The 25,856-nt window shown below is 51.5% G+C and overlaps 1 long non-coding RNA gene across 1 annotated transcript, besides 1 other annotated feature; it reads left to right on the top strand.

Moving 5' to 3' along the window:
• Nucleotides 7,182–8,058: an enhancer, noted in NCBI's record as "H3K4me1 hESC enhancer chr8:10449944-10450820 (GRCh37/hg19 assembly coordinates)". NCBI's record gives its function as "activates a minimal SCP1, AML or CMV promoter by ChIP-STARR-seq in primed H9 embryonic stem cells {active_cell/tissue: H9 hESC(primed)}" and the evidence as "EXISTENCE:reporter gene assay evidence [ECO:0000049][PMID:30033119]".
• On the top strand, nt 19,409–21,776 carry LOC105379237 (uncharacterized). Its single transcript, XR_002956671.2, has 3 exons — nt 19,409–19,494; nt 19,757–19,839; nt 21,045–21,776. It is a non-coding gene; the product is annotated as an uncharacterized LOC105379237 (long non-coding RNA).
• The last annotated feature ends 4,080 nt before the right edge of the window (nt 21,777–25,856 follow it).

Raw genomic sequence — 25,856 nt, 5'->3', positions numbered from 1 at the left:
TTCTTTCTTTTTGAGACAGAGTGTAGCTCTGTCACCCAGGCTGGAGTGCAGTGACACGATCTCAGCTCACTGCAATCTCTGCCTCCCGGGTTCAAGCGATTCTCCTGCCTCAGCCTCCAGAGTAGCTGAGATTACAGGCATGCGCCACAACACCAGGCTAATTTTTGTATTTTTAGTAGAGACGGGGTTTCAACATGTTGGCCAGGCTGGTCTGAAACTCCGACCTCAGGTGATCCGCCCACCTCGGCCTCCCAAAGTGCTGTAATTACAGGGGTGAGCCGCTGCGCCCAGCCGCTGTGTTCCTTTTATCTAGCACAGTTGGGTATGTCAGTCCAAGAAAAGCAACTTGAGGCATTTTATTTGGGGGTGAGGGAGTTTCCCCTAAGACCAAGGCTGATATGCTCCAGTGAGAGGGGAGCAGGATGTGGGTGGATGCTGTGGATGCTACAGGCAGCAGGGGCCTCCCCGAAAGCAGTGGGACAGTGACGCTTGGCCCAAGCTTGTGGAACGAGCTTTGATGCGGGAGATAACGGTGGGGGACGTTCCAGATGGAGGTGGCCACAGGAGTGTGGAAACAGAGAGGCCAAGCATGGTCTCAGATGGTGAAGAGGGAATAGTCAGGGGCGCAGGTTAGAGAGTGCATGGATGTGTGCAGGGCCCCACTGCTGAGGACCTTGGGACCTCCGGACCCCAGGACAGCCCTGTCCTTGGGCAGAGGTATAGACGCAGCCCTGGGATCAGCTGGGGTCTGACTGAGGTCTGCACTCCGGGAGCTGCACCACTGCCTTTTCCCCTGGGCTTGGGTCCTCACCTGGGGAACTCAGCTCTGCCTGGGAATTCCTTCCATGGGGACTTTGCCTTGTTCTTAAAGATGCAATCTCCTCCCTCTCCCCAGTACAACTTTCCTTCACTCATTGCACTCTTAATATCTATACCACAAAGGCTTTTGTGTGCAGAGTCACTTTTAATCCTGACAACATCCCTGCAAGTTTGTCTTGGATGAAGAGACAGGTTCAGAAGAGACTCCTCCAAGGACATTCGGCAGGTGGATGCCAAAGGCAGGATTTGAACCAAACCCCACTTCCTCCAAGGAGGGGCTCCCTTTTCCACACAGCCTGCCCTAACCCTATGGGCCAAGAGTCCTCTGGCCTGCACCCCCTGGGCTGGGCTTCACCCCCATCATCTCTCCTCGAAGCCCCATGGCCCCTGGCTGCTCTGGCGGAGCCTCGCTGGGCTGCACTCTGGGCCCTGCCCTCAGTCTGCAGGACAGAACCTCCCAGACTCTTCTAGGTTGTGTCTCAACCCCACCCCAGGACCCGACCTGACACCCTCCACCGGCCTGTCTTTTCTAAGGAACAGGGATTCTGCGGTTTTCCAACTGTGGGCAGTCTTGGAAAAGTGTCGAGTGTTTTTGCTCGTCCCAGGGATGGGGGACGCCGGTGCTGTTTTACCTGCAGGGGTCAGAATACCAAACATCCTGCAGTACATGGGCCTGTCCCACATGAGGAAAAATAGCCTTGCTCCCAATGCCCCAGTGACTGCTCCACTCTACAGCTGAAGAGACTGAAGTTCAGGGTCACGGTGCCTGGCCCAGAGCCCACAGCCAGGAGGGGTTGAGCATTCCCCTCCTGATTCCTCAGCCTTCCCACTGCATCCCAGAAGGAGCAAGACTGCCCCAACACTCCAGCCTGGCTCAGCACCACCCTGTCTCCAGGCAAAGCAACGGACTGGGTGACTTCCCAAAGCTCCACCAACCACAACAATTCCAAGAAAGGGCAAAGCCAGAGACAGGCACCCGCGGGGTTAAGCAGTGGAAAAGTGGGAAGGGCGAGAGCTGGAAAGTGACTCATCTCCCTGGAAAAGGCTGGGCCCCGCATTCTATTTGCCCCAACACCGTGAGATTGTAGTTGGCTTGTGAGAGACAGGCCCCGGCAGGACAGGCAGCTTCCCAAAGTGTTGGGGACCCAGAGGTACAGAGAATGCTTTACAGCTCTTCTGTTCTGCCATCGAGTAGCAATGGGTCTTTTCTCATTTTTGACCTCAGCTTCCAAGTACACCTGAGCTCCCCAAATGCACATCAGAATTAAACCTGCAAAAAGTTCTGAATTCAAGAGATGAAGGTGAGGAAAGAAAACTATAGGATAAGATGAGTCCATTCCCTCCTGGGTCAAGAACTCTTCACCCCTACTATGAAGCTAGATGGTGCCCACTGCATCCTGGTCTGAGCAGCTGTTCTGGGTCAGGCCATGTGGCAGCAGCTGAGGCCGCACAGTTGAAAGCACTGCCCCTTCCTGTCCCCACTTCAGTGCACACCTGCCGTGTGCACCACCTCTTACTCCCCAGGGGTTCGTTGGTCACAGGTACTGCCCTCCTGATGGATAAGTGACAGAATAGAATAGCAGTCCTACTCCATGCACCCAGGGGTCACAGTGACAGCACCGAACCCAGAGGGTGGCTGAGGAAATGGAGAGATGCAGAGAAGTGGCCTGGACAGCAAGTGCCATGTGAGGTCCTGGGCCGGGGACAGTAGCACTGAGAGGCTTCTCCCGGAGGTAGGGCTTGGGCTAGGATGGCTAGTGGTCACGAGCTGGGGCTAGGGGGCTGAGGGGACCTTAGGATGCGGTGAGTCCAATCACGAGAAACCACAGACAGGTTACACAGCATGCACATGTGTGCATGTGTGCACACGTGCATATGTGTTTATGTGCATGTATTGGGGGGACGGAATGGTCTCTGGGTAGTTGGCGTGGGGCAGAGAGGGAGCTGAGAGTGACAGAAATGCTGCCCAGTTGAGGAGGGGACTCTGATGTCCCCCAGGCCGGAGACCTGAGAGGCGCACATTTGGAAGGTGTGAGTGTGTTGGTAGAGTGGCCGACACTGGGAGGAGGAAGCGTGGGACCTCCTCAGGGTCTATCAGAAGAATAACGTGGAGCTTTGGCCAATGAGGGGCAGGCCCGCGAGGTCCTGCCTGTGGCCTTGTGAAGATGGGGCTTCAGCCAGCCCAGCCGCCAGCTCAAGGCCTGTCCCTGGGTTGAAGGCCACGCAGCCACCAGGTCCCCCAAACACAGACCCAGAAAGGAGTGGCTGAGAGTCGGAGAGAGGTGAGGGTCACTATCGGTCGGGCTTGTTTCTTGTAGGGGACGTGGCTGTGTGTGGCAGAGAGAGCCCAGGACTATCAGGATGCCTGGGTTCCTGAGGGAGGGCATTCAGGCCAGCATGAGGAGTCTGGCCTTCTCTCTTCCAGATGTTTCTGCCTGAGGCCACACACTTCTCCAGCCAGAATGGCCTTCCTTACTACGCCTGGCTTCTCATGCCAGCTCTGTCCCCAACCAGCATGGTGACCCAGGGTGCCTATGTCTCTGGAGGACTCAGGCGCCCCTTCTCCGCTCTGGGAGCCAAGGATTCGAGAGGCCCATGCTGTGGTTAGCAGCCACAGCACCAGTGCCAAGACGAGAAAGGAGGACTTCTCACCATACCCAGAAACCCTCGGTGTCTAGGGCTGTGACAGTCAGCCACTGAAGCCCCGTCGCTGTTTCCCAATTCTCATGCCATAGAAGCACAGGACTTTGCCACCAGGAGGGCCACACGCCTGCTGCGTCTTAGCTCTGCCATGCTGTCTCTCCGTGTCACTGCAGCTTGTGTAGTGCAGCGCTCTCATTCGAGAGAGAACAGCATAGAGGCCCAGAGAGGTTGTGTCCCTGCCTAAGGTCACACAGCAAGTCAGTGCCAAGCTAGGCGTAGGAACCGGGTTCTCTGATTTGCAGGCTCCATGGGCCTGAGAGAGTAAGCATCAGATCGCCACCTTCCTGCACAGGGGTGGGCACAGGGCCGGGGTGGGGAGGGCAGCGTTCTGGCCTAATTAAGACGCTGTCGAAGAGCGGGAATGTGAGAGGCCCTGCTCGGAGATTAGTGCCCCTCCATAGATCATAGGCACGGCAAGGACATAATAAATAATCTGCCCAAAGGTTTTAAAGGTAAAAATCAGCAAACCATTAATAACGTCCCCAGCACCATACATCACGCTGAAATCTTCCCATTACGCCGCTCCCTGAGCCGATGTGTGTTTTCTTTGCTGTCTTTTTTTTGGGGGGAGGGGTGCGGGGCAATTACAGTTGATTTTATTCTTTTTAAAAAACATTTTGCTTTAAGTTTTGGGAAATGTGCAGAACGTGCCGGTTTGTTGCGTAAGTACACATGTGCCATGGTGGTTTGCTGCACCTGTCAACCGAGGTTTTAAGCCCCACATGCATTAGGCATTTGTCCTAATGCTCTCCCTCCCCTTGCTCCCAACTCCCCAACAGGCCTCGGTGTGTGATGTTCCCTCCCTGTGCCTTTTTTCCCTCCCCTTTCTAGTGTGTTCCTCCGGAGCCTTGAAGCCCCTTCCACGCAGCCTGCTGAGCCCAAACGAGGATGCAAAGCCTTTCAGGGTTTACACCCGGTTTACACTCAGGCGTGGTGGCAGCCAGGGGGTGAGACGGGAGCTGCCCACTCCCTCTCTCAGCACTCTAGGCTCTGCTTCCACATGTCCTTCCAGGAAACAGGATGGAGTCTCAACCACCCCCTGCATCCCAGCTCTAAGCAGTCACAGCTCTGCTGCTTCTCAGAAACAGAAGACGTTTAATTAATTAATGCAACAGGGCCCCGTTAAATAACAGAAGTGCTGATGGTGCGTTTTCCATCCCTGGCTTGCCTTCCCTCAGTCGGGAGCCCCAAGGCAGGAGCCCCGAGGCAGCCAGCAGGCACTGGGGTCCTGGTTCCCCACATTTGGGGGTCTGGATGCATTTATTTAGCATTTGCGGGTGAGCTGTGGTGTGCAGCAAATCAAGAGCTGGGGAAGGAGTGAGGAAGATCAAGGAGAGAGCAGCTAGAACAGTGGCCCAGGCTGGGCCAGTCCCATCCTGGCAGGTAGCGCTATGAGCGGGTGACTTGCCCTGGGGTGCAGGGAGGCACGGGGTTGTGGCAGCGCAGGAGCAGAACCAGGGGCTGTGCCGGGGTGTCCTCTCCAGCACAGGGGGTGAGACCTTGACCGAGCCACACCCTTTTGACCTGAACCTCCTCAGCGGCACAGCAGGTGACTTATTCGACGATTCTGTGAAGTTCTTTGCGGGTCCCAGGCCTCGCTCCTTCATTAATTCCTTGAAGGAGACGTGGATTGAGAAGCTCCTAACACTGCCGCGGTGAAAGTGGTCTCTGGAACGAAGAATCGAGACTGAAGACAGAAGAATTCCGTACTCACCAGTTGTTGGCTTCTGGGAAGACCCCCTAGGGGACCGTTATAGGGGGACCCTCCTGGCCACTTGGAGAGGCGTGTTCTGGTGTCAGCTCTTTGGTAATAAGCTGGATGACCTTGAACGCTGAGCCAGCTCCTTCACTCTTCTGGGCCTGTTTCCTCACCTACGACATTGCTAAAGTCCTTTTCCACTCTGAAACACGGGGCTGAGTCACCCCTAAATTTCCATGACACTCCCTGGAGTAGAACCAAAGCCATGTGCTGGACTCGAGTAGTTCTGGTTTAGAGCCTGGGGTCCACCAGACTCAGCCTTTTTTTTCTTTTTGTTTTTTGAGACAGAGTCTCACTCTGTCACCCAGACGAGTTCAGTGGCACGTTTACAGCTCAGTGCAGCCTTTACCTCCCAGGCTCAGGTGATCCTCCCACTTTAGCCTCCCAAGTACCTGGGACTACAGGTGTGCACCAGCACTCCTGGCTAATTATTTTGCTTTTTTTGGTAGAGATGCAGTCTCGCCATGTTGCTCAGGGTGGTCTTGAACCTCTGGGCTCAGGCCCTCCTCGGCCTCCCAAAGTTCTGGGATTACAGGTATGAGCCACTGGCACCCAGCCCCTGCCTCAGGCTTTTTCAACCATGGCTAAGACATGAACTTCTCCACGGCTCAGGGTTCCATTGCCCTCCCCTCCCCAGCCCCACAGAGATAGATCAGAGGAACGCAGCAGACGACACCTCACGGGTGAGTTGCCCTGTACATTTTACAAAGCCCACCTGGGTTTCCTCTGTCCCTCAGCATGACCCATGAAGAGTCAAGGCCAGGCTTGCTAGACCCACCCATCTGGACAGATGAGAAAACTGATGCAGAAAGATCAGCGGGAGACTTGGAGAGCTCCTCCAAGGGAAGGGTCTCTTGTGGGGAGAATCTGGAGACCGGCAGAGCATGAGTCAGCAGAGACGGGGGTGTGGGCTTCTCTCTCCCCTGGCAGGCATCCCTGAAAGCCCACATCCTCCGGAGGCTGGTGGAACTTCCAGAACCAGATCATCCAGCCAGCCATTGTCCTGCCTCGATCTAGCCCGGGGTCCCCAGTAGCACATCTGTAGGTCCTAAAGGTGCAGCGTGTGGACCCCATCACGCCTTCTTCCGTGCCTGCAGTTTGCCCCTCTGCCACTCTCTGCTCATGAAGAGCATGACTCAGGGCAAGTTCCCGATGTCTCTGCACCTCAGTTTACACGTTCGCCTCCCACATACCTTGGTGGTTGTGGGAATTCAGGTGGTACAGACACATCATCGTGAATGTTTAATAAGTTAGTTATTGTGACAGGCTGACATTGGCTTCAACGGTTTTGAATGCTGCTGCTGCTCAGCCAGGAGCAAGAAAGCACATTCACACTGGGGTGGGGGTGGAGTAAATGGGGAAAGGCTCCTTGAAGAAAGAGGAGAGCTGGGGTGGGGGAGATCCCAGGGCAGGGAAAAGAAGTGTCCACCGTGCAGAGGCCTGGAAGACGGCCAGGGTCCAGCCTGGCCAGAGCTCAGGCGTCGGGGGAGAGGGAGGCATTTTGGCTTATGCCTGGCTCCTGGAAGCCAGGCCTCACTCCCTGCCCAGACACTAATTCTGATGATGTAAACCACTTTGCCACCCTGCTGTCCTGAGATTCTCTGGCTTCACCACCTCCCCCCTGCCACCCTACTCCCTGTCACTGTGACAGGCCCTCGGTCCCTCTCAGGCCCTGATGGATGGCCCCCATGCTGGGTGTCATACATCTCCGTCTTCCCTAGAAGCTGTGACACAAGTAATTGGTGTCACCACTGTTGATTGCAAGCCAAGTGCTGACAAAACAGACCACAATAGGAGCTCTGGAGCAACAGCCTTGATTGTGTTGGGGAGGGCCCTGCTGGGGACCCAGTCCAGTGTGGTTCCCCTGCGTATGTGAGGGAGAGGCAGTGGCCCGTTGGACCACGGCAGCAAATGCAAAGGTCTCCTGGTCCCCACCCGGAGAAGGTGCTAGAATCCCTCTGAACTGCACAGCTCCATGCTGGGGACCCACCATTGGCCCCAGGGCAGCACCTGGCGTAGAACATGCACCTGCCCAACCTGGGCAGTGGCGTGTGGGCCCCCTAGGGGTGGAGTCGGAGGCCTCAAGAGCTGCCCTCCCTGGCTCCTACCAGCTGAGCCTGCTGTTCCCCGTCACAGCTGATGCTTTGAGGTGACTGCAGGTGTCCGCCAGGGGAGGTGCTGGGGGCTGGGCTCGGCGGGTGACCCACCACATGACAAGGTGCACTCTCATCAGGCCAGGTCTTGGCCTCCTGCTGTCCAGGGTGGAGAGGGGCTGGATGGCCTCTCAGATGTCTTGCCTTTCACAAGAGGGCGGCAGCCCCACCCAGAGCACAGGGCTCAGCAGGGAGGTCAGCAAGGAACCAGGAGCATGCACGGCCAGAGGAACGGCTCCAGCTCTGACTACCTGACACCTAGCCAGGGCCCACTGAGGAATGGGCAGGCTGAGGACTGCGGGGGCCTCTCTATACGCAGGCAGTCTGCCCCTACCTGAAGCCACACAGCAGAGGGCTGGACACGTGGATGGTAGACAGTGGCCTCTGTCTCTGTTCCTGACCGGCCGTCCTTGTGCTGCCCCTGCCTATCATTGAGAGAATCTCCCAGAGACAGCCCTGGGAGGGGCAGGCTGTGGTCACAGTGAGACCCCGGGGTAGGAGTCCATGGATTTACACCACGTCCTCTGCAGGAAGACCTTGCCTGAGAAGTTCCTTTGGTTTTAGTATCAGAAAAGAACACCTGGGCTTCCTCCTCCACGTGACGGGCCGTGGTGTTTCTTTCTTGCTATGTTAGCGGCTGACCTGGCCATACTGGCTTCATGGTGTGACCTTCGTGGATTTGGCCTCACTCCTGGCTCCATTTTACCTTTCTTCCGTGTTTCTTTTCCCCTCAATTTTGTTCCTTATTAATGTATTTTATCCCGTTATACTGTTTGCATCTTATAGGTTGCTCTAAGGCCTTTTCAGTATAAGGTGGAGCTGGGGAGTGAACCCACAGACGTGGTCTCAACCCCAGCCCTGTGAATGCTGCAGAGGAAAGGGGCTTAGCCTTCGCTCCCTGGGCACCCCCGGTGAGGATTCCCGTTCCGGCTGGGAGGGTGGGATTATAGATGCCACTCACAGGCAGAGGCAGCTGCTCTTGGGGACCATTTCAGCAGCTCCCACAAGGCACGTGGCCATCTCCACAATATGGTCCGATGTTGGGCCAAGCCTCGAGGTATTTTGTTTCCCTGCTGCCCCAGTGGCCAGCCTACCTGAGTGACGGGCAGGCCCACCTGGGTGTCCTGTGCTGGACACAGATGCACTCACGGGCTCGGGGTGAGAAGGCCTCCTGCTGGGTGTTGGAGGGACAGGAGAGCGACAGAGTGAGAGGTTCCTGGATCCCCTGCGATCAGAACTGTGGCCATCCTGGGAGCCGCTCGATTCTCACTCTGACAGGTGACCTGCCCTCCTGCACATGGAGGGCAGGAAGGACCCATCTCAGGGGCAGGAGTCCCTGTCTCCACCTGCCCAACCCACAGGGATGTGTGGCTGCCTCCCTGGGGAGTGGAGCCTGTGGCGTCCCCCAAGTGCCCGCCGCAGCGCAGTCTCCAGCCTGGCCCCTGGGACCCGCGAGTCCTTCCTCGCTCCCGCTGGCCTGGGAGAGTCCTGCCGCCGGCTCATTGTCCTGCTTCTGCCACTTTTCCTCTGCAGCATTGTTCCCGTTATCAGCATCCTACACCCTGCAGCGGCTGTACAGGAAAGCCAGGCTGCCGCTGAGGCTGCCGCTGGGGCTGTCGCCGAGGCTGCACGGACGGCCCAGGTGTCCTGCTGGCAGGGGCAGAGGCACAGGCGGTCTCACAGGCCTTTCCCCGAGTCCCGGCCGTCTGGTGTGCTGGGCAGAGGGGTACCGAACACATGTCTGTGCTCTCTGTGTGGAATCCTGGTCTCGGTGCTCAGGGTGGGGGAAAGGAGACTCCAGCCCAGGCACCCACTTTGCCGCTATGATGTTGGGAGGCGTATGCTGTGCCCCCAAGTGTGTCTGTTGAGTTGATGCCCTGCACAGGTTGGAATCTCTGTGCCTCAGTTTCCCTCTCTGTTAAGCACAGGCCTATTGCTTTATTGAAAGGACCAAAGAAAGTCGAGGAAATGCGAGTCTTTGTGGACTGTCCATCAGACAAGAAGAGGTTAGGGTGGCTCGGTTCGAGTGGTCTGTAGCATCCACTATTCCTTGCCCTTTCTGAAGTGAGGGGTTTAGATTGGAGCGGGCCTGGTATGGAAGCTCCTCCAAGGAGTTTTGGGGAGAAGGGGCTGGTGTAAGGGAGAAGGAACCCCACTTTTGGTCTGTGCTGGACTAGAATATTCTAGGAACCTCACTAAGAGAGTGGTAATGACTTAGCAGATAAAAAATACAAGACACGTAGTTAAATTTGAATTTCCAGATAAACAAAGACCACTTTTAAAAATATATGCACATTCTGCGCAATATTTGGCGCAGGCTTACTAACAAATTGTTCTTTATCTGGAATTCAAATTTAATTGGGAGTTCTGTATTTTCTTGGGTAACCCTATTCTAAGACCCCCGTGTAGGGTCTGGAATGCTGCAGGGAGGTCTTTGGGATGTTCTGGCCGAAGGAGGTGGGCGGGGGGTCTGTTCCTCCCTGGAGTTTCTCCCCAGCATCCTTCCCTGAGCTTTTTAGGGGAGACCTGAGGGCCAGGCTGGCTCTCCAGGGCTCAGGGGATGATCCGAGTCTGACGCCCCCGGCGCAGCCTGGCTCAGATGTTCGGGCCCAGGAACCTCTGCTGTCGTCTTAGATGGGGCCACTTTGTCAGGGGGCGTGGGTGCAGTAGGGAAAGCCGCCTGGTGGCCCCGCTGGTCCGGGACAGATCCTTGGAGCCTTCTCCAGCTCTGTCCCTGCAGGCGGCTGTGTGTCGCCCTCTGCTGGCAAGTGCGGATACGACAGGGCTTTGTGCGCCCAGGATAATCTGGATGGCAGCTTTTCTGGGAAGAAAAATTCACCCTCATGAATCTTGGTTACTGAAAAAACCCATTTCTTTCCCTCTAGCCAAGCAGGAACTCGGAGATATCAAAATATAAAACCCTTTCATTTTGTGTTGCAGAAGGAGGAAACTCAGAATCTTCTAGAAACAAAAACGTACCCAACAGGCTGGGAAGTAAGGCCTCCCAGCCATTAGAAGGATGGAAGCACCGGGCAGGGATGGCCACACTGAGGGAACCTTCTGGCTCCTGGCGACCCAGTTTGGCAGGGCAGGACGCCCTCTCCCGAGACCTTCAAGTGACCAGCGATCTCAGGACGAAGCTCCTCACACCCTGCCCGGCAGGCCCGACGGCACCATCCCTGCAAAGAAGTCGGGGGGTGAGCGTGGCGTGCGAGGAGAGGGGCCGGCGACACCAGCCAGAGAACACGTTCCCCTCTTGCGCTGAACGCCAGAATGGGAGACACTTCACCATCAAGACAGCCACAATCTGGATTTGGCGTGGTGGCTCACGCCTGTAATCCCAGCACTTTGGGAGGCCGAGGCGGGAGGATCACCTGTGGTCAGGAGTTCGAGACCAGACTGGCCAACATGGGGAAACCCTGTCTCTACTAAAAATACAAAAATCAGCGGGTCATGGTGGCTGAGTAATCCCAGATACTCAGAAGGCTGAGGCAGGAGAATCTCTCCAACCCGGGAGGCAGAGGTTGCAGTGAGCGGAGATTGTGCCACTGCACTCCAGTCTGGGTGACAAAGTTAAGACTCCATCTCAAAAAATAACCAAAACAAACAAACAAACAAAAAGACAGCAGCAATCTGAATGGGAAAATGGGCCAGTTGTCAGCATGAGCCATGCAACTGAAAGGATGGGCTACACACATAGGGCAGACCCAGGGTTTGTGGCGGCCAACAACCTCGACACTGGCAGAAGCAGAGTCCAAGACAGTGAATGCATAATTAGGCTCAGAAGTTCATATTGACTGGGCATGGGGAAGTTAATCACAACAAATAACAGATTTTAAAATAGGCTTTATATTTTAGAGCAGTTTTAGGTTCACAGTAAAATTGAGCAGAAGGTCCTGAGAATCTCCATATATGCCCCGACCCACACACACAGCCTCCCCCACTATCATCACCATCCCCCCACCCCAGAGTGGTGCATTTGTTACAATCGATGAACCTACATTGACTCGTCATCATCACCCAGAGTCCATATGTTATATTAGGGTTCATCCTTGGTGTTGAACATTCTGTGAATTTTGGCAAATGTGTAATAACCTGTACCCACCATTACATTATCATACAGAGGAGTTTCACCGCCGTAAAAATCCTCTGTGCTCAGCGTGTTCATCCCTGCCTCCCCACAACCCCGGGCAACCACTGAGCTTTATACTGTCTCTATAGTTTTGCCCAAATAGTGCACTTTTCAAAAGCTAAAAATCTCCACAAATATCACAAAACCAGAAAAATGATCCTTACAAGCTTCTGGGTCTGTACATTTCAAATCTTCTTTCTCTTCCACTGGATACGCACGGAAGCCCTAAGACATGTTCCCGCAGAGGTCCCGTGACCAGCCTTGTATCTTCACCTTGTGGCACTGGTGGGTCCCCAGAGAGTGCCTGCAGGCCATGTCTACACCAGGAAAGTTATCGACGCTTACGTTCTACGGAAATGGCTGAGATAGATTAGATAGCTAGAGAGATGGTTAGATCGATAGATAGGTGGATTGATGATGGATACATGAATAGATAGATGGATGGATGGATGGATGGATGGTCAGATTAGATCCCATTAAAGCTGCCTAAATAAGTCTTCAACTCAACATCCCCTTAGCCAGATTTCAAAAATGTCCTTGGCCACTCCAATGCCACCCAATAGGACAAGTACAACGGAAGGAAAGTCAGAGGGAAAACAAACAACAGTCTTCACCAATTTGTGATGAAATTTACTTTTGCAAATTTCATGAACAAATGGCTGTGGGAACACGTTGCGAGAGTGCTTTGAGGCTTCACCTCTGCTAGCTTTACCCACAAAGCTCCCACACTATACCTTACACTAAGGCCAAACCTCAACACAAATAATGTTAACATTAGCCACAAAAAAAATGGCTAATATTGAAAGAATTATCAGTATTTCAAGTGTTTTAGGGACATTTTTCCAAGAAGCATAGCCTGGTAAGAGTGACTCTGATTTTTGCATGTGTTTATAGAAACCAGGCTTCCTACTTGTAAGCCCAATAAAAAATCAAATGCTCTTTATTTACCATTTACAAGATCAAGCTTTATCCTGAACTCTCAGACAATGTTACATTGAATCTTCCAATGTTTAAATTAGGCCCAATTTGTCCTGTTCCAACCCTACCCTGTCCTCCACCCTAGAGACATTAACATGGTAGCGAATGCCCGGTAAACAAGAATAATAGAGGGAAGGCATTTTGGGGAAGTAATCTGATCTGCTGCAATGTGAACCTGAGGTTCAAAGTCAGTGGAACAGAACGGGAGGAAATGGAACACAATGGGTGCAGGTTGGTTGAAGGGTTTCTCGATAGGGAGGATCTGCTGTACCCACACTGAGTTCCTGAATAAGGCAGGAGAGGTCTTTGTGAACGTACAGCCTTCTCATCTATTGGGCTGGGTGGACTTGGTTTGGGAGAGACTGGGCAGCTGGTCAGATGACCACTCTTAAGATGTCAGAATGCTGACTTTCTCTTGGCCTAGGTTCATGCCTGGATTTTAAGTAAACAATGCCCTCTACTGCTAAACAGCTAGCATGACAGCTGTGAGGGCTGCACAGCTTTCCCATGGGAGCTCTGTCTTCAGGGAACCCTCCAAAGCAAGTGGAGCAAGGTGCACATGAGAGTTTGATCCTTAAGACACGGACCACCTTCAGCAAAAGCAGAGATTTCCATCTCAGCAACGTATTTAGTGTGAAGCATCGGGGTGAGGTTTGACTACATGGCTCTTAGAACTGTGTCAACACTAGGATACAGGACTATCTAGATTTGGTTGGATAATTTAAAAAGCAAAGCAAAACACTTTTTCTGCCTGTTTAGATCCAATGGATTGGCTGGCATATATATCTCCCCAGGTCAGGTCTTTGCAAACAGAATGGGAGGCTTTGTCAATTCGGAGCTTATTCTAAGAAACAAGATTCAAGCACACCTATCTCTCCAGGACCTCCAATTTTACCTAATTTAAGAGAGGGGAAGGCATGGACATCTGTGCTTTATGTAACTTGAATGTTTCCCTGGGAAACCTGAATATTCTTTGAAAGACGCTTGGAGCTACAATGTACATGGTAATTTAAAATAACCCGGGCTCAGTCATTGGTGACAAAGGCCCTGTGTCCATGTTCTCTGGCTTCCTTGGTTCCCTGGGTGGCAGAGCTGTCACTCCCTTCTTAGCTGGGCTTTTCAGATGAATGCTACCTCTCTCTTTGACCCCTCCCTGTAGGCTGAGGGAGGAGGCCAGCCTCCTTTGACCTCAAGGACTTTGCTTGACTTGCTCAACCTCACTCTTCCGTCCTGCAAAATGGATTGAACTAGATGATGGCTGTAGTATCTTCCAGCTCCCTCTGAGAACCAACAGTCCCACTTCTGTCACCACCAGGCTTCCACTGGGCTCCTTCTGGGTAGACCAGTCACCTCACTGTGAAGGGGAGAAAGGGTCCTAGTAGTGGACGTCTAATGCCAGGTGGCCTCTGCAACCTGGGACCCTACTTCTCTCTGTACAATCTGTGTGTTAACATCCGAGTAGAGTAGCTCTCTCCTCCTCCCCATATGAGAATGAATGGTGTTAAGGAATGGCCTTCATGCTCTGTGGAAGGCAGGCACATCTCACACCTCCACTTAATCACTGTGGATGAGTTGACAAGTTGTTCCAGTGGCTTAAATGGTTACATCAGGCAAAAATGCCAAAACTCACCTGGGTTTACATTTTCAAGTCTTAAAAGTAGCAGGGAGTCATACCCCAAGAATTCAGGCTTGTTGTCTTTTCTTTCTTTCTTTTTCTTTTTTTTTTTAGACGGAGTTTCGCTCTGTTGGCCAGGCTGGAGTGCAGTGGTGTGATCTCAGCTCACTGCAATCTCTGCCTTCCTGGGTTCAAGCAATTATCTGCCTCAGCCTCCCAAGTAGCTGGGATTACAGGTGCTCACCACCACACCTGGCTAATTTTTTATTTGTTTAGTAGAGACAGGGTTTCACCATGTTGGCCAGGCTGATCTTGAACTCCTGACCTCATGATCCACCGGCCTCAGCCTCCCAAAGTGCTGGGATTACAGGCATGAGCCACTGCGCCCGGCCCAGGCTTATTTTCTATCTAGACTTGCACCCCAACGGACTGCACACTCAGAAGCATCTTTAGGCATTCAGGTTGTTAGGCAATTGGGTGCCTGCCCTGTACCAGGTACTAGGCTGGGAGGCCTGTGCCCGCCAGGAGCGCCTGGCCAACTCTAGTTACCCACCCCCCGGGGGCACCAAGCCTCTGTCCTGAAGGAAACAGCTCCCCACAGAGATCAGACTCCTCCAGTCGTGCTCCTTTTGTTTCTCCTCTAAGCTCCTTGGCAGCTGAGGATGGGAGGAGAGAGCCAGATAAAATCAAAAAGGAATCCATGCGATTTAACCAGGTGCCTGGAGAGCTTCTGGGAAACTCCCAGGGGCATGGAACCACCCAGAAGGTAATAAATAATAGTGACAGAAACCAGCGCCGAATGTCTCCCCTTTCATCTTCTGTTTCCTCCATAGGGTCTTGGCGCCTGGGTTCAACGCTGACTTGGGAGTTTTGTTCTACTGTTTGACTGTGCCTCGGTATGAAAACAAAAGCTTTAACTTCCTCTGACTGCACGGCGACCCTGGGTCCGGCGACACTGGGAGGACCGAGGAGAGACTCCCCAGGGGCAGGGTCCTGCTCATCCCCACTCCCTCCCACCCTAGCAGGTCTCTGTCTGGGGAATCATGGCACCCTGATCTATGCTCAAGTTCAAGTGGAGAACTTGGAAGGTGACAAGCCAGGCTTCATATCTTGTTAAACCCACATGTGCATGCGCGAACACACACACACACACACACACACACGTGCACACACAGCCACACACACCCCTCTCACTGTAAATACAGGATTCAGCCTATAAAAGAAACAATGAGAGCTGGATTCAATGAGGTTCCCCCAGCAAATGGAGTGTTTAGGGTTTTGTTGGAACTCTATTGTGTAGACCAGAGTTCCTTAATACAGTGAGACAGTGAGCAGCTTCCTGTTATGGAAACAGTCAAACCCTGACATTCAGCAAGTCAATCTATAGAGCAACTGGATAAACAACCAAGATAATCATCAGCCATCATCGGCACAATAGCCAAAATGGCATTGCTTGGGGACAAGGGGCTGGCTCAGACCCAAACAATTCAGATGAATACAAGCCATCTCCTGGCCAACAGGACCATTCATTGTGCCCGGGATTGTGCACGCCGCCCTGTATGCCGGGCCGGGAGTGTGCATGCCCAGATCCAGATGCTGTTTATAGGTCTGCTCCCCGGGAGCCGTGTGTCTGGCTCTCTGGGTGACCTTCTGAAGGCCTGTGTAGGGCACTGGGTCGGGACAGGTGTCCCATCTTTGCCAGCACTGACATTGGAGACAAGACTCTAGATCCCGTCAGCTGTGGGGTAAAAGCTTGGCCAAGCCAGGCCTTGAATGCAGTTCTTAGCTTCCCCGCCTGCAGAAAGAGCCTAACGATGTGTCCAACTCTTCTGCTTTCTTTCCTCTGAGGGCTGCACACGTAGCTGCGCCTTTGACTAGAGAAGAAGGGACGGCCGGGGAGGCTTTATTTTAGGAAGTGTCTGAACTCTGGACTTGGCCCTTTCACAGTTGCTAGGCTTGTTACTGGAAAGGGGTCTGGATCCAGACCCCAAGAGAGGGTTCTTGGATCTCATGCAAGAAAGAATTCAGGGCAAGTCCACACAGTGAAGTGAAAGCAAGTTGATTAAGAAAGTAAAGGAATGAAAGAATGGCTACTCCATAGACAGAGCAGCCCCCAGGACTTCTGGTTGCCCATTTTATGGTTATTTCTTGATGATATGCTAAACAAGGGGTGGATTATTCATGCCTCCCTTTTTTAGACCATGTAGGGTAACTTCCCAATGTTGCCATGGCATTTGTAAACTCTCATGGAGCTGGTGGGAGTGTAGCAGTGAGGACGACCACAGGTCGCTCTCGTGGCCATCTTGGTTTTGGTGGGTTTTGGCCCACTCCTCCACTGCAAACTGTCTTATCAGCAAGGTCTTTGTGACCTGTATCTTGTGCCAACCGCCTATCTCATCCTGTGACTAAGAATGCCTTAACCTCCTGGGAATGCAGCCCGGTAGGTCTCAGCCTCATTTTACCCAGCCTCTATTCAAGATGGAGTTGCTCTGGTTCAAATGCCTGTGACAGGCTGAACGCAGTGAGACGCTGTCTGACACTGAGAGAGTCCTGGTCCCTGATAAGTCCTTACTCAACTCATGTCCAGCTGGTTATCCTGCCCTTGACATCTGATTCACACCGAGAATGACACAAGCCCTCTACCTCAGTGGCATCACCGATCACCCATGTGTTCTGGCCTGGAGGGTCCAAGAAGGTCTTACAACCCTCTAATCTTTTCTGTAGCTACCAACGTCTGTCTGAAAGCAAGTGGCCAGCATTTGACTCTTTGGGTTACCAAAGGTTGGCGTGCATTGCAAGTTGGGGCATAGTGTCAGGAAAGCCCTGTTGGGGGTGGACGTAAGCCTGTGAGGGAGATGTAGGGCCTCACTCTCTTTGTTTGGGAAAACAGAGCAGGTGTCAGACAGGGCCTGGGGAGTCAGAGGGCCTGGATAGGACACTGTAGGGGCAGGAGGGACAGAGGAGGCTGGCCTGGGGTCTGGGGAACTCTTGGAATTATTCAGGGGCAGAGGGGAGAATCAATCCGTGAGTGCTTGTCTGTAACATTAAATTCTGAAATCTAACACAAAAGAGTGGACTAATATATTTTTTTTCCAGGTATAAACACTACTTTACTCAGTCTCTATTTTTCTTCTACACATGATGGATGCCATTCCAATTATGAAACAAACAAAACTGTCAATATATAAGGCAATCAACAGAACCAGACTCAGAGATGGTCCAGATATTGCAGCTATTATACAGCAACTTTAAACATAACTATAATTACTATATTAAAAGATATACCAGAAAAGATAAGCAACATATATGACAGTGAATTTCAGCAGAGAGAAAGTACAAAAAGGAGTTAAATAAAATGCTCGAAATACAAACAAATCAGATACAAAGGATTAGTATTAGAAGCCCATGGATCCCTATCCAAAATTTAGTTCAGATGGGAGTGGACTAATAATACTTTATTTTGAGTGCTCAAGGGGCAGGGATTCACTTTTCAGAGCTAGTATTGCATCTCAGAGACTACTCCAGGCTAAAGGCTGAGGCTCAGAGGGAGGGTGTGCCTTGGCCGTGGTCACAGCATGAGTGTGACGGGTCAGAGGTGGGAGCCTGGACTTTCCCAGTCTGGCCTTCCTCCCTACACACCTCACAGCTCCCACCCCGCAGAGCCTGAGATGGCAGCAGATGTCCTGAGAGCTTCCCAGCTTCTCAACCCCAGAAAGAGGCCTGACCCAGCGCCCTGCTCAGGGAGTACTTGCATTCATCGTTCCCCGAATCCCCAGCCTACCTGCCTCCTAGGAGCTCACAGCACAGGGCCTCCCCGGCAACCTCTCAGCAGGGAGGAGGAAAGCAGGCTTGCTGGGTGCAGCACCCTTTCATCCCTGCCTGAGAACTAGGCTTCACCCGGGCCAGGAGAAGCCCGTGACCAGCCACCGGACCTCACCTGGGGCCACTCTGCCTTCCCTGACGTCCAAGGAGAGGAGGGAGACAATGGTGAATGCTAGCAAGGACGACACACACACAAAAAATCATATCCCAGGACACCAAACTCACTATGCCAAAGGGAAAAGTTCAGCTAGGAACTGAGTCACACAAAAACTATCCTCCTTTTGTTCCCAAACGCAAAGCTGTAATGGCACATTCTTACTTTACCTCATGTAAAATGTAGATTTACTTTCACATGTGAAATATGGATTGGCTGGGCACAGTGGCTCACGCTTGTAATCCTGGCACTTAGGGAGGCCGAGGTGGGTGGAGCACTTGAGGTCAGGAGTTCGAGACCAGCCTGGCCAACATGAGAAAACCCCGTCTCTACCAAAAAAATACAAAAATTAGCCAGGCGTGGCTGTGCATGCCTGTAGTCCCAGCTATTTGGGAGGCTGAGGCATGAGAATAGCTTGAACCCAGGAGGCGGAGGTTGCAGTGAGCTGGGATCACACCTGGCTAATTTTTCTATTTTTTGTAGAGACAAGGTCTTACTATGTTGCCCAGGCTGGTCTTGAACTCCTGGGCTCAACTGATCCTCCCACCTTGGCCTCCCAAAGTGCTGGGATTACAGTCATGAGTCAACACGCCCGGCCTATTTTGTATCCTTTAACAAATCTCCCCTTATTTCTCCCTTCACCTGCCCTTCCCAGCGTCTAGTATACTCTATTCTACTTTTTGCTTGTATGAGATCTTTTTTTTTTTTTAGCTTCCATATAGGAGTGAGAACATGTGCTGTTTAGCTTTGTTCCTATCTCCAGCCTGGGTGACAGAGGGAGACCCTCTCCCAAAAAAAAAAAATAGGATTCAGTGAGTGCTAACCAGAGCCTCAGGGGAAGGGAACCACTTGCTCATTTCCTACCCTCAGAATGTGCTTCTCCACGCCCTAGAACACTTTGGGGGTGCAGGCAGTCCCCCCCGGGAAAGACCTCGGTATTAACTGATAACATCAGCTCCCACTTGCCAAGTGCTAACTGCCTCGGAGCCCTCTGCTAACTCTAAGCACATTGCCCCACCTAATCCTCGCCCCCACCTCTCACATTAGGTCTCGTTATTTCCGCTTTCAGAGGAAGATGCGGTGCTCAGAAAGGCCGCCGGAGCTCAGCATTTTCCCCACACTTCTGCCTCACAACCATGTGAGGTGTTATTTCTACAGGATGGTTGGCAAAATTGGGATTCAAAAATCTTCAGCCACTGGCCCTTGCATGTGGTGGAGCTGGGATGAAAGTCCAGACCTGGGGACGTTGCTCCCTGGGTCCACTCTGTTGCTACTGGCAGGGTGGAGGGAAGGCTCACCATGGGAGCCCTGCAATGGCCTGCGGGCACTCCCATTGCTTCACTGAGTGGAGGAAAGGAGGTGAGGAGCTTGTCATTGCTTTCAAGGGACAATGAGGCACATCACATATGATGCATGAGACAATTAACTAGGGGGTCCCAAGACCTGGGAAGAGGTCTTGCTTCTGTTACTAGCTGTGTGTCATGGGCAAATAACTTAACCTCTCTTAGCCTCCTTTTCCTTTAACTCTAATTTGGTGTATTAGGCCATTCTTGCGTTGCTCTAAAGAAGTTTGGGAGGCTGGATAATTTATAAGAGGTTTAATTGGCTCACGGTTCTGCAGGCTGTACAGGACGCACAGTGGCATCTGCTTCTGGGGCAGCTTCAGGAAGCTTCCGGTCATGGTGGAAGGCAAAGGGGGAGCAGGTATGTTACATGGTGAGGGCGGGAGCAAGAGCAAGGGAGGGGGTGCCATACACTTTTAAATGACCAGATCTCATGTGAACTCAGAGCCAGAGCTGACTTATCACCAAGGGGATGGCCTAAGCCGTTCATGGGCGATCTATCTCATCATGCAAACACCTCCCATCAGGCCCGACCTCCAGCACTGGAGACTACAATTCAACCTGAGATTTGGGCAGGGACACACATTCAAACTATATTACTTTCTTCCCGGCAAGAAGCAGAGCGGGAAATGGTGAGCAAGTAACAATCAAGATGCTTGCAGATAGTGATAATGTGATAACTGATATGGAGGAGAGGAACAGATTTGGTAGGGGGATGGGAGAGAGAGAGGGAGGGGATCGCATCAGCCTGTCCCTGCTGAATCTGTCCCTCACCCCCACTCCCGCCAAGCTGGAGCCAGGACTGACCTTTCTCCCCTGTGCCTGAGTCATGGGTGATTTGCCTCCTCTTGTACCCTGGGCATGAAAATCTCCATCCTATGTTTCTTCCACCTGCCTCCCCCTTTCCCTGCCCGGAAGGCATGAAAGCAGTGGCCTTGCTGGTGGTCATATTCCAGTTCTCCTTCCAAGGGGATTCCTTTGCTACTGGGATAGAATTTTCAGCTCTGTGGACAGTTGTTTAGTGGCTGGCTCACTTACCTCACAGCCCTGGCTGTGACCGCAAGCAAAGTCCAGAAACCAGGTGCAAAACCACATCTGCATCAACACAAGGAAACGCCAGGCAGCCAGTTCTCCCCACCTCCCATTCCATACCCTCCCCCAAAATATGAAGATTAGAAAGCCATCTACAGCCAACACAGCGTACCCAAAGTGTGAATTCTAGGCCATGGGGAGCCTGGGAGGGATGGGGGGTGGGGCTGTCCTGGTTTGCACCTTTGGAACATTCTGGAAAGTAAGACTCAGAGCTCAACTTGGAAATTGCAAAAGTGTGAGGGGTGTGGTTCGGCAGTGGAATCGGTGGGGAGGTGCTGACCTGGGGATAGAAGGTGCGCTGGGCCCAGTGGGGGGCCGGGTGGGGGAAGGCTGGGTTGCTGCTATGGGATCTGCTGTTTCAGAGCAGGGTCTTGACCTGGAAGATGGCTGGGGTTTGCACAGCTGGAGCAGACGAGGAGAACCTTCTCCCAGGGGTGGCACCTGCCTCCTGCTCTCAGTTCTCTCTTCTTCCAGGTAAGAAGATGGTATTGTAGTAGCCTCCACTGGGTGGACTTCTGGAAGGCGCAAGCGGCCCCTGAAGGGCCCTGGAGCCATTTTAGAATCGCTCATAATAAAACTGGATGGAAACACAACAGAGTATGTAATTGAGTTCCTCGACTTCACAGATGAGGAGACCGAGGGCCGTTCAACTAAGATCACGCGGGTAGAAAGTGGCTGTCTTGTGGCTGTCCCGTGATTCAACATAGATTTTTGGCATCTAGTTTGGTGGCTTTTTTTTCTACCACACTTCTCATCTGCCTTACGCCCGGCAGCCCTGAGCCTGACACGCCTACAGACTGAAGGATGGAGGAGAGACAGGCTTGCATCCTGCAGAGTCTAGCAGAGGCCCTGGGTCACTTTGCTTCCCAGAGGCACATCCGATTTCCCATACTTGTTGTAAGAGAAACTAAAGTCGTCCAGTTCCAGTGGTGCTTCAGAGCCCAACAGACTCCCCCAGCGTGGCCAATATTCAGCTGGCCTGGGATCTTCTGGGCGGTGCCACTGTGCTAGGCTGCAGACCTGACTTTTTGGCCGAAAAGACAAAAGATGGTCTCTTCCACTCATTAGTTATGAGAGTTCTGACAACCCATGTAACTTCTATGAGCCCCCGTGTTCTTATCTGTACAATAATCTATACTCTTCTTACATCAATTAGTCGCTAGAACAAAAATAAAATGTCTGCTATGAAAAGTCCATAGCTCCGCATTCAGCCTGAACTGTTTATCTGTGTCTCCTCCTCCTGATCATGGCCTGCGGGAGCTGAACATGTGCATTATCTTGGATGTCATTACTCATAACTCTAATTAGTGATTACCAAAGGCCTCAGGGGACTAATAAGAATACCCATCAGATACTTGGACTGCCCAGAGTTGGAACTTGTATTCCCAACAACTTCCTCTTTTTGAACCAGCCTTATATACCTGGGATAAATTCCACTTGGTCTAGGTATATAATTCTTTTTGTCCAGTGTTGGATTTGATTTTCTGATATTTAATTAAGGATTTTTGCATCTATGTCCATGCAAATATTGGTCTGTAGTTTTCTTTTGTTTTGTAGTATCTGTCTGGTTTTGGTATTACGGTAACACTGATCTCATAGAATGCACCCAGGCTGGAGTGCAGTGGTATGATCTTGGCTCACTGCAACCCCCGCCTCCCAGGTTCAAGCAAATCTCCTGCCTCAACCTCCCAAGTAGCTGGAATTAAAGGCTCGTGCCACCATGCCTGGCTAATTTTTGTATTTTTTGTAGAGAAAGGGTTTTGTCATGTTGGCCAGGCTGGTCTTGAACTCCTGGCCTCAAGTGACCCGCCCACCTTGGCCTATAGGCATGAGCCACTGCACCCGGCCTCAGAACAGTTTCAGTGAGAGAATTGCTCTGCTCCCAGTAGTTTCTGTAAATACTGATTTCTTGACTTACAAACCTCTCCTGTAGGTGGAACCCAGAGAAGCTGGGCATGGAGGTGGTTATATTTAGGGCTCACAACTGGAGGTTCTACCACCAGCCCTGGCGATGCTACAACAGCTGGATCAGCACAGTGATCCTTGTAGAGGTATGCCTCCCAGACACTGCAGGCTCTGTTCCAGGCTCTGTTCCAGGCAGAGGCACGCCTCAGAGACACTGCAGGCTCCATTCCAGACCATGGCAATAAAGTGACTACCGAGCTAAAGCTACTCACACTAATTTTTGGTTTGTTTGTTTCCCAGCACATATAAAAGTTATGTTTCCAGCCAGGCGCGGTGGCTCATACTGTAATCCCAGCACTTAGGGAGGGTGAGGCGGGCAGATCACCTGAGGTCAGGAGTTTGAAAGCAGCCTAGCCAACATGGTGAAACCCAGTCGCTACTAAAAATACAAAAATTAGCTGGGCATGGTGGTGACACGCCTGTAATCCCAGCCACTCGGGAGGCTGAGGCTGGAGAATCACTTGAACCCAGGAGGCAGAGGTTGCAGTGAGCTGTGATCACGCCATTGCACTCCAGCCTGGGTGACAAGGGCAAAACTCTGTCTCAAAAAAAAAAAAAAAAAAGTTATGTTCCATTGTAGTCTGTTAAGTGTGCAATAGTGTGCCACAAAAAGCCATGCATATACTTTCATGTGCGTCCGTGTGAAGAGACCACCAAACAGGCTTTGTGTGAGCAATAAAGCTGTTTATTTCACCTGGGTGCAGGTGGGCTGAGTCCGAAAAGAGAGTCAGCGAAGGGAGGTAGGGGTGGGGCCGTTTTATAGGATTTGGGTAGGTAAAGGAAAAAGGGGGGTTGTTCTCTGGCAGGCAGGAGTGGGGGTCACAAGGTACTCAGTGTGGGAGCTTTTGAGCCAGGAGAAGGAATTTCACAAGACAATGTCATCAGTTTAGGCAGGAACAGGCCATTTTTACTTCTTTTGTGGTGGAATGTCAACAGTTAAGGCAGGAACCGGCCATCTGGATGTGTACATGCAGGTCACAGGGGATATGATGGCTTAGCTTGGGCTCAGAGGCCTGACATTCCTGTCTTCTTATATTAATAAGAAAAATAAAACGAAATAGTGGTAAAGTGTTGGGGTGGCGAAAATTTTGGGGGGTGATAGGGAGAGATAACGGGCGATGTTTCTCAGGGCTGCTTCGAGCGGGATTAGGGGCGGCGTGGGAACCTACAGTCGGAGAGATAAGCTGAAGGAAGGTTTTGTGGTAAGGGGTGATATTGTGGGACTGTTAGAAGAAACATTTGTCATTTAGAATTATTGATGATGGCCTGGATACAGTTTTGGATGAATTGAGAAACTAAATGGAATAAGAGAAGGAGAAAAACAGGTATTAAAGGACTAAGAATTGGGAGGACCTAGGACATCTAACTAGAGAGTGCCTAAGGAGGTTCAGCATAGCCTTGCCGGAAAAGATTATTTATTTACTTTAAGAGTTAAGAGTGGTGGTTTGGGGATAGCACCAGGAGATAACAGCTGCGATGGCTTGGAGAAACAGTGTAAACCGGCAGTGTAAACAAGAGCAGGGCGTGTATGAGTAGTTGAGAATGGTGAATAGGAGTATGGCTAGACAGAAGACAATAGGGATGACAAGTTTTTTGGGGCATAGTCCAAGTTGGTCTGTTGTCTGGAATGAGACTGGGGCCTAATAAAAAGGAGCATCTATAGGGGAGCTTAAATGGGCTGTACTTTGTAGCATTCTGAAGACAGGCCTGAATTCTGAGAAGGGAAAGTGGTAAAAGTATTGTCTATTCTTTTTTAAGTTGGTGGCTGAGGTGGGTGAGGTGTGTTTTTAAAAGACCTTTAGTCTGTTCTACTTTTCCTGAAGACTGAGGACTGTAAGGGATATAAAGGTTTCACTGAATACTAAGAGCCTGAAAAACTGCTGGGCTGATTGACTAATAAAGGCTGGTCTGTTATCAGACTATATAGAGGTGGGAAGGCTAAACTGAGGAATTATGTCTGATAGAAGGGAAGAAATGACTGCGGTGGCCTTCTCAGATCCTATAGGAAAGGCCTCTACGTATCTAGTGAACGTGTCTACTTAGACTAAGAGGTATTTTAGTTTTTGTGACTCGGGGCACGTTGAGTAAAGCTAATTTGCCAGTCCTGGGTGGGGGCAAATCTCTGAGCTTGATGTGTAGGGAAGGGAGGGGGCCTGAAGAATCCCTGAGGAGTAGTAGAATAGCAGATGGAACACTGAGAAGTTATTTCCTAGAGGATAGATTTCCAAGATGGAAAGGAAATGAGAGGTTCTAAGAGGCGGGCTAGTGGCTTATACTATAGCATAGCCTGCATTTGCTGGTGTGTGGCGATTAGGCTTGGTGGAACTGCCATCAATAAACTAAGTGTGGTCAGGGTGAGAAACAGGGAAGGAAATATGGGGAAATGGGGTGAACGTCAGGTGGATCAGAGAGACGCAGTCATGAGGGTCAGGTGTGGTATCAGGAATAATGTGGGAGGCCGGATTGAAGTACTGGCCGGGAACAATGGTAATTGTGGGAGACTCAACAAAGAGTGAGTACAGCTGAAGGAGCGAGGGAGCAGACAGTATATGCATCAGGTGTTTGGAAGAAAATAGATTTTGGAAATTATGAGAGCTGTAGAGAGTGAGTTGAGCACAGTTTGTGATTTTAACGGCCTCTAAAAGTATTATGGAGGCAGCAGCTGCTGCACGGAGACATGATGGCCAGCCTAAAACAGTAACGTCAACTTGTTTGGACAAAAAGGCTACAGGACGCGATCCTGATCCTTGTGTAAGAATTCTGACTGCACAGCCCTGCACTTCACCTGTATGTAATGAAAAGGGTTGGGATGAGTCAGGGAGAGCTAGAGTGGGGGCAGTCTCTAAAGCTGTCTTCAAGGAATGGAAAGAGGAGTGGGGAAAAGATTTAGGATCTATGGGGTCAGCTAGGTTTCCTTTTGTGAGTTTATATAATGGTTTTGTTAGGATGGCAAAACCAGGTATCTAAAGGCGAAAGTATCCAACTATGCCCAGGAAGGAAAGGAGTTGTTGTTTTGTAGAAGGGATTGGGGTTTGGGAGATTAGTCAGACACGATCGGCAGGGAGAGCACGTGTGTTTTTATGAAGAACTATGCCAAAGTCGGTAATGGTTGGAGAAGAAATTTGAGCTTTGGAGGGGGATACCTGATATTCTTTGGAAAATAAATGCTGAAGGAGCAGAAGTGTGTCTTGTTGAGACGATTCAAAGGAGGGTCTACAAAGAAGAAGGTCATCAATATATTGAATAAGGTGAGAAGCGGAGGAGTGGAAAGAAAGTAAATCATGGGAAAGAGCTTGGCTGAAGTAATGAGGGTTGTCCCTG

The sequence above is a fragment of the Homo sapiens genome, chromosome 8, assembly GCF_000001405.40.
Source record: "Homo sapiens chromosome 8, GRCh38.p14 Primary Assembly".
Classification (NCBI taxonomy): domain Eukaryota; kingdom Metazoa; phylum Chordata; class Mammalia; order Primates; family Hominidae; genus Homo; species Homo sapiens.
This window is presented reverse-complemented; position numbering and strand designations above follow the sequence as displayed.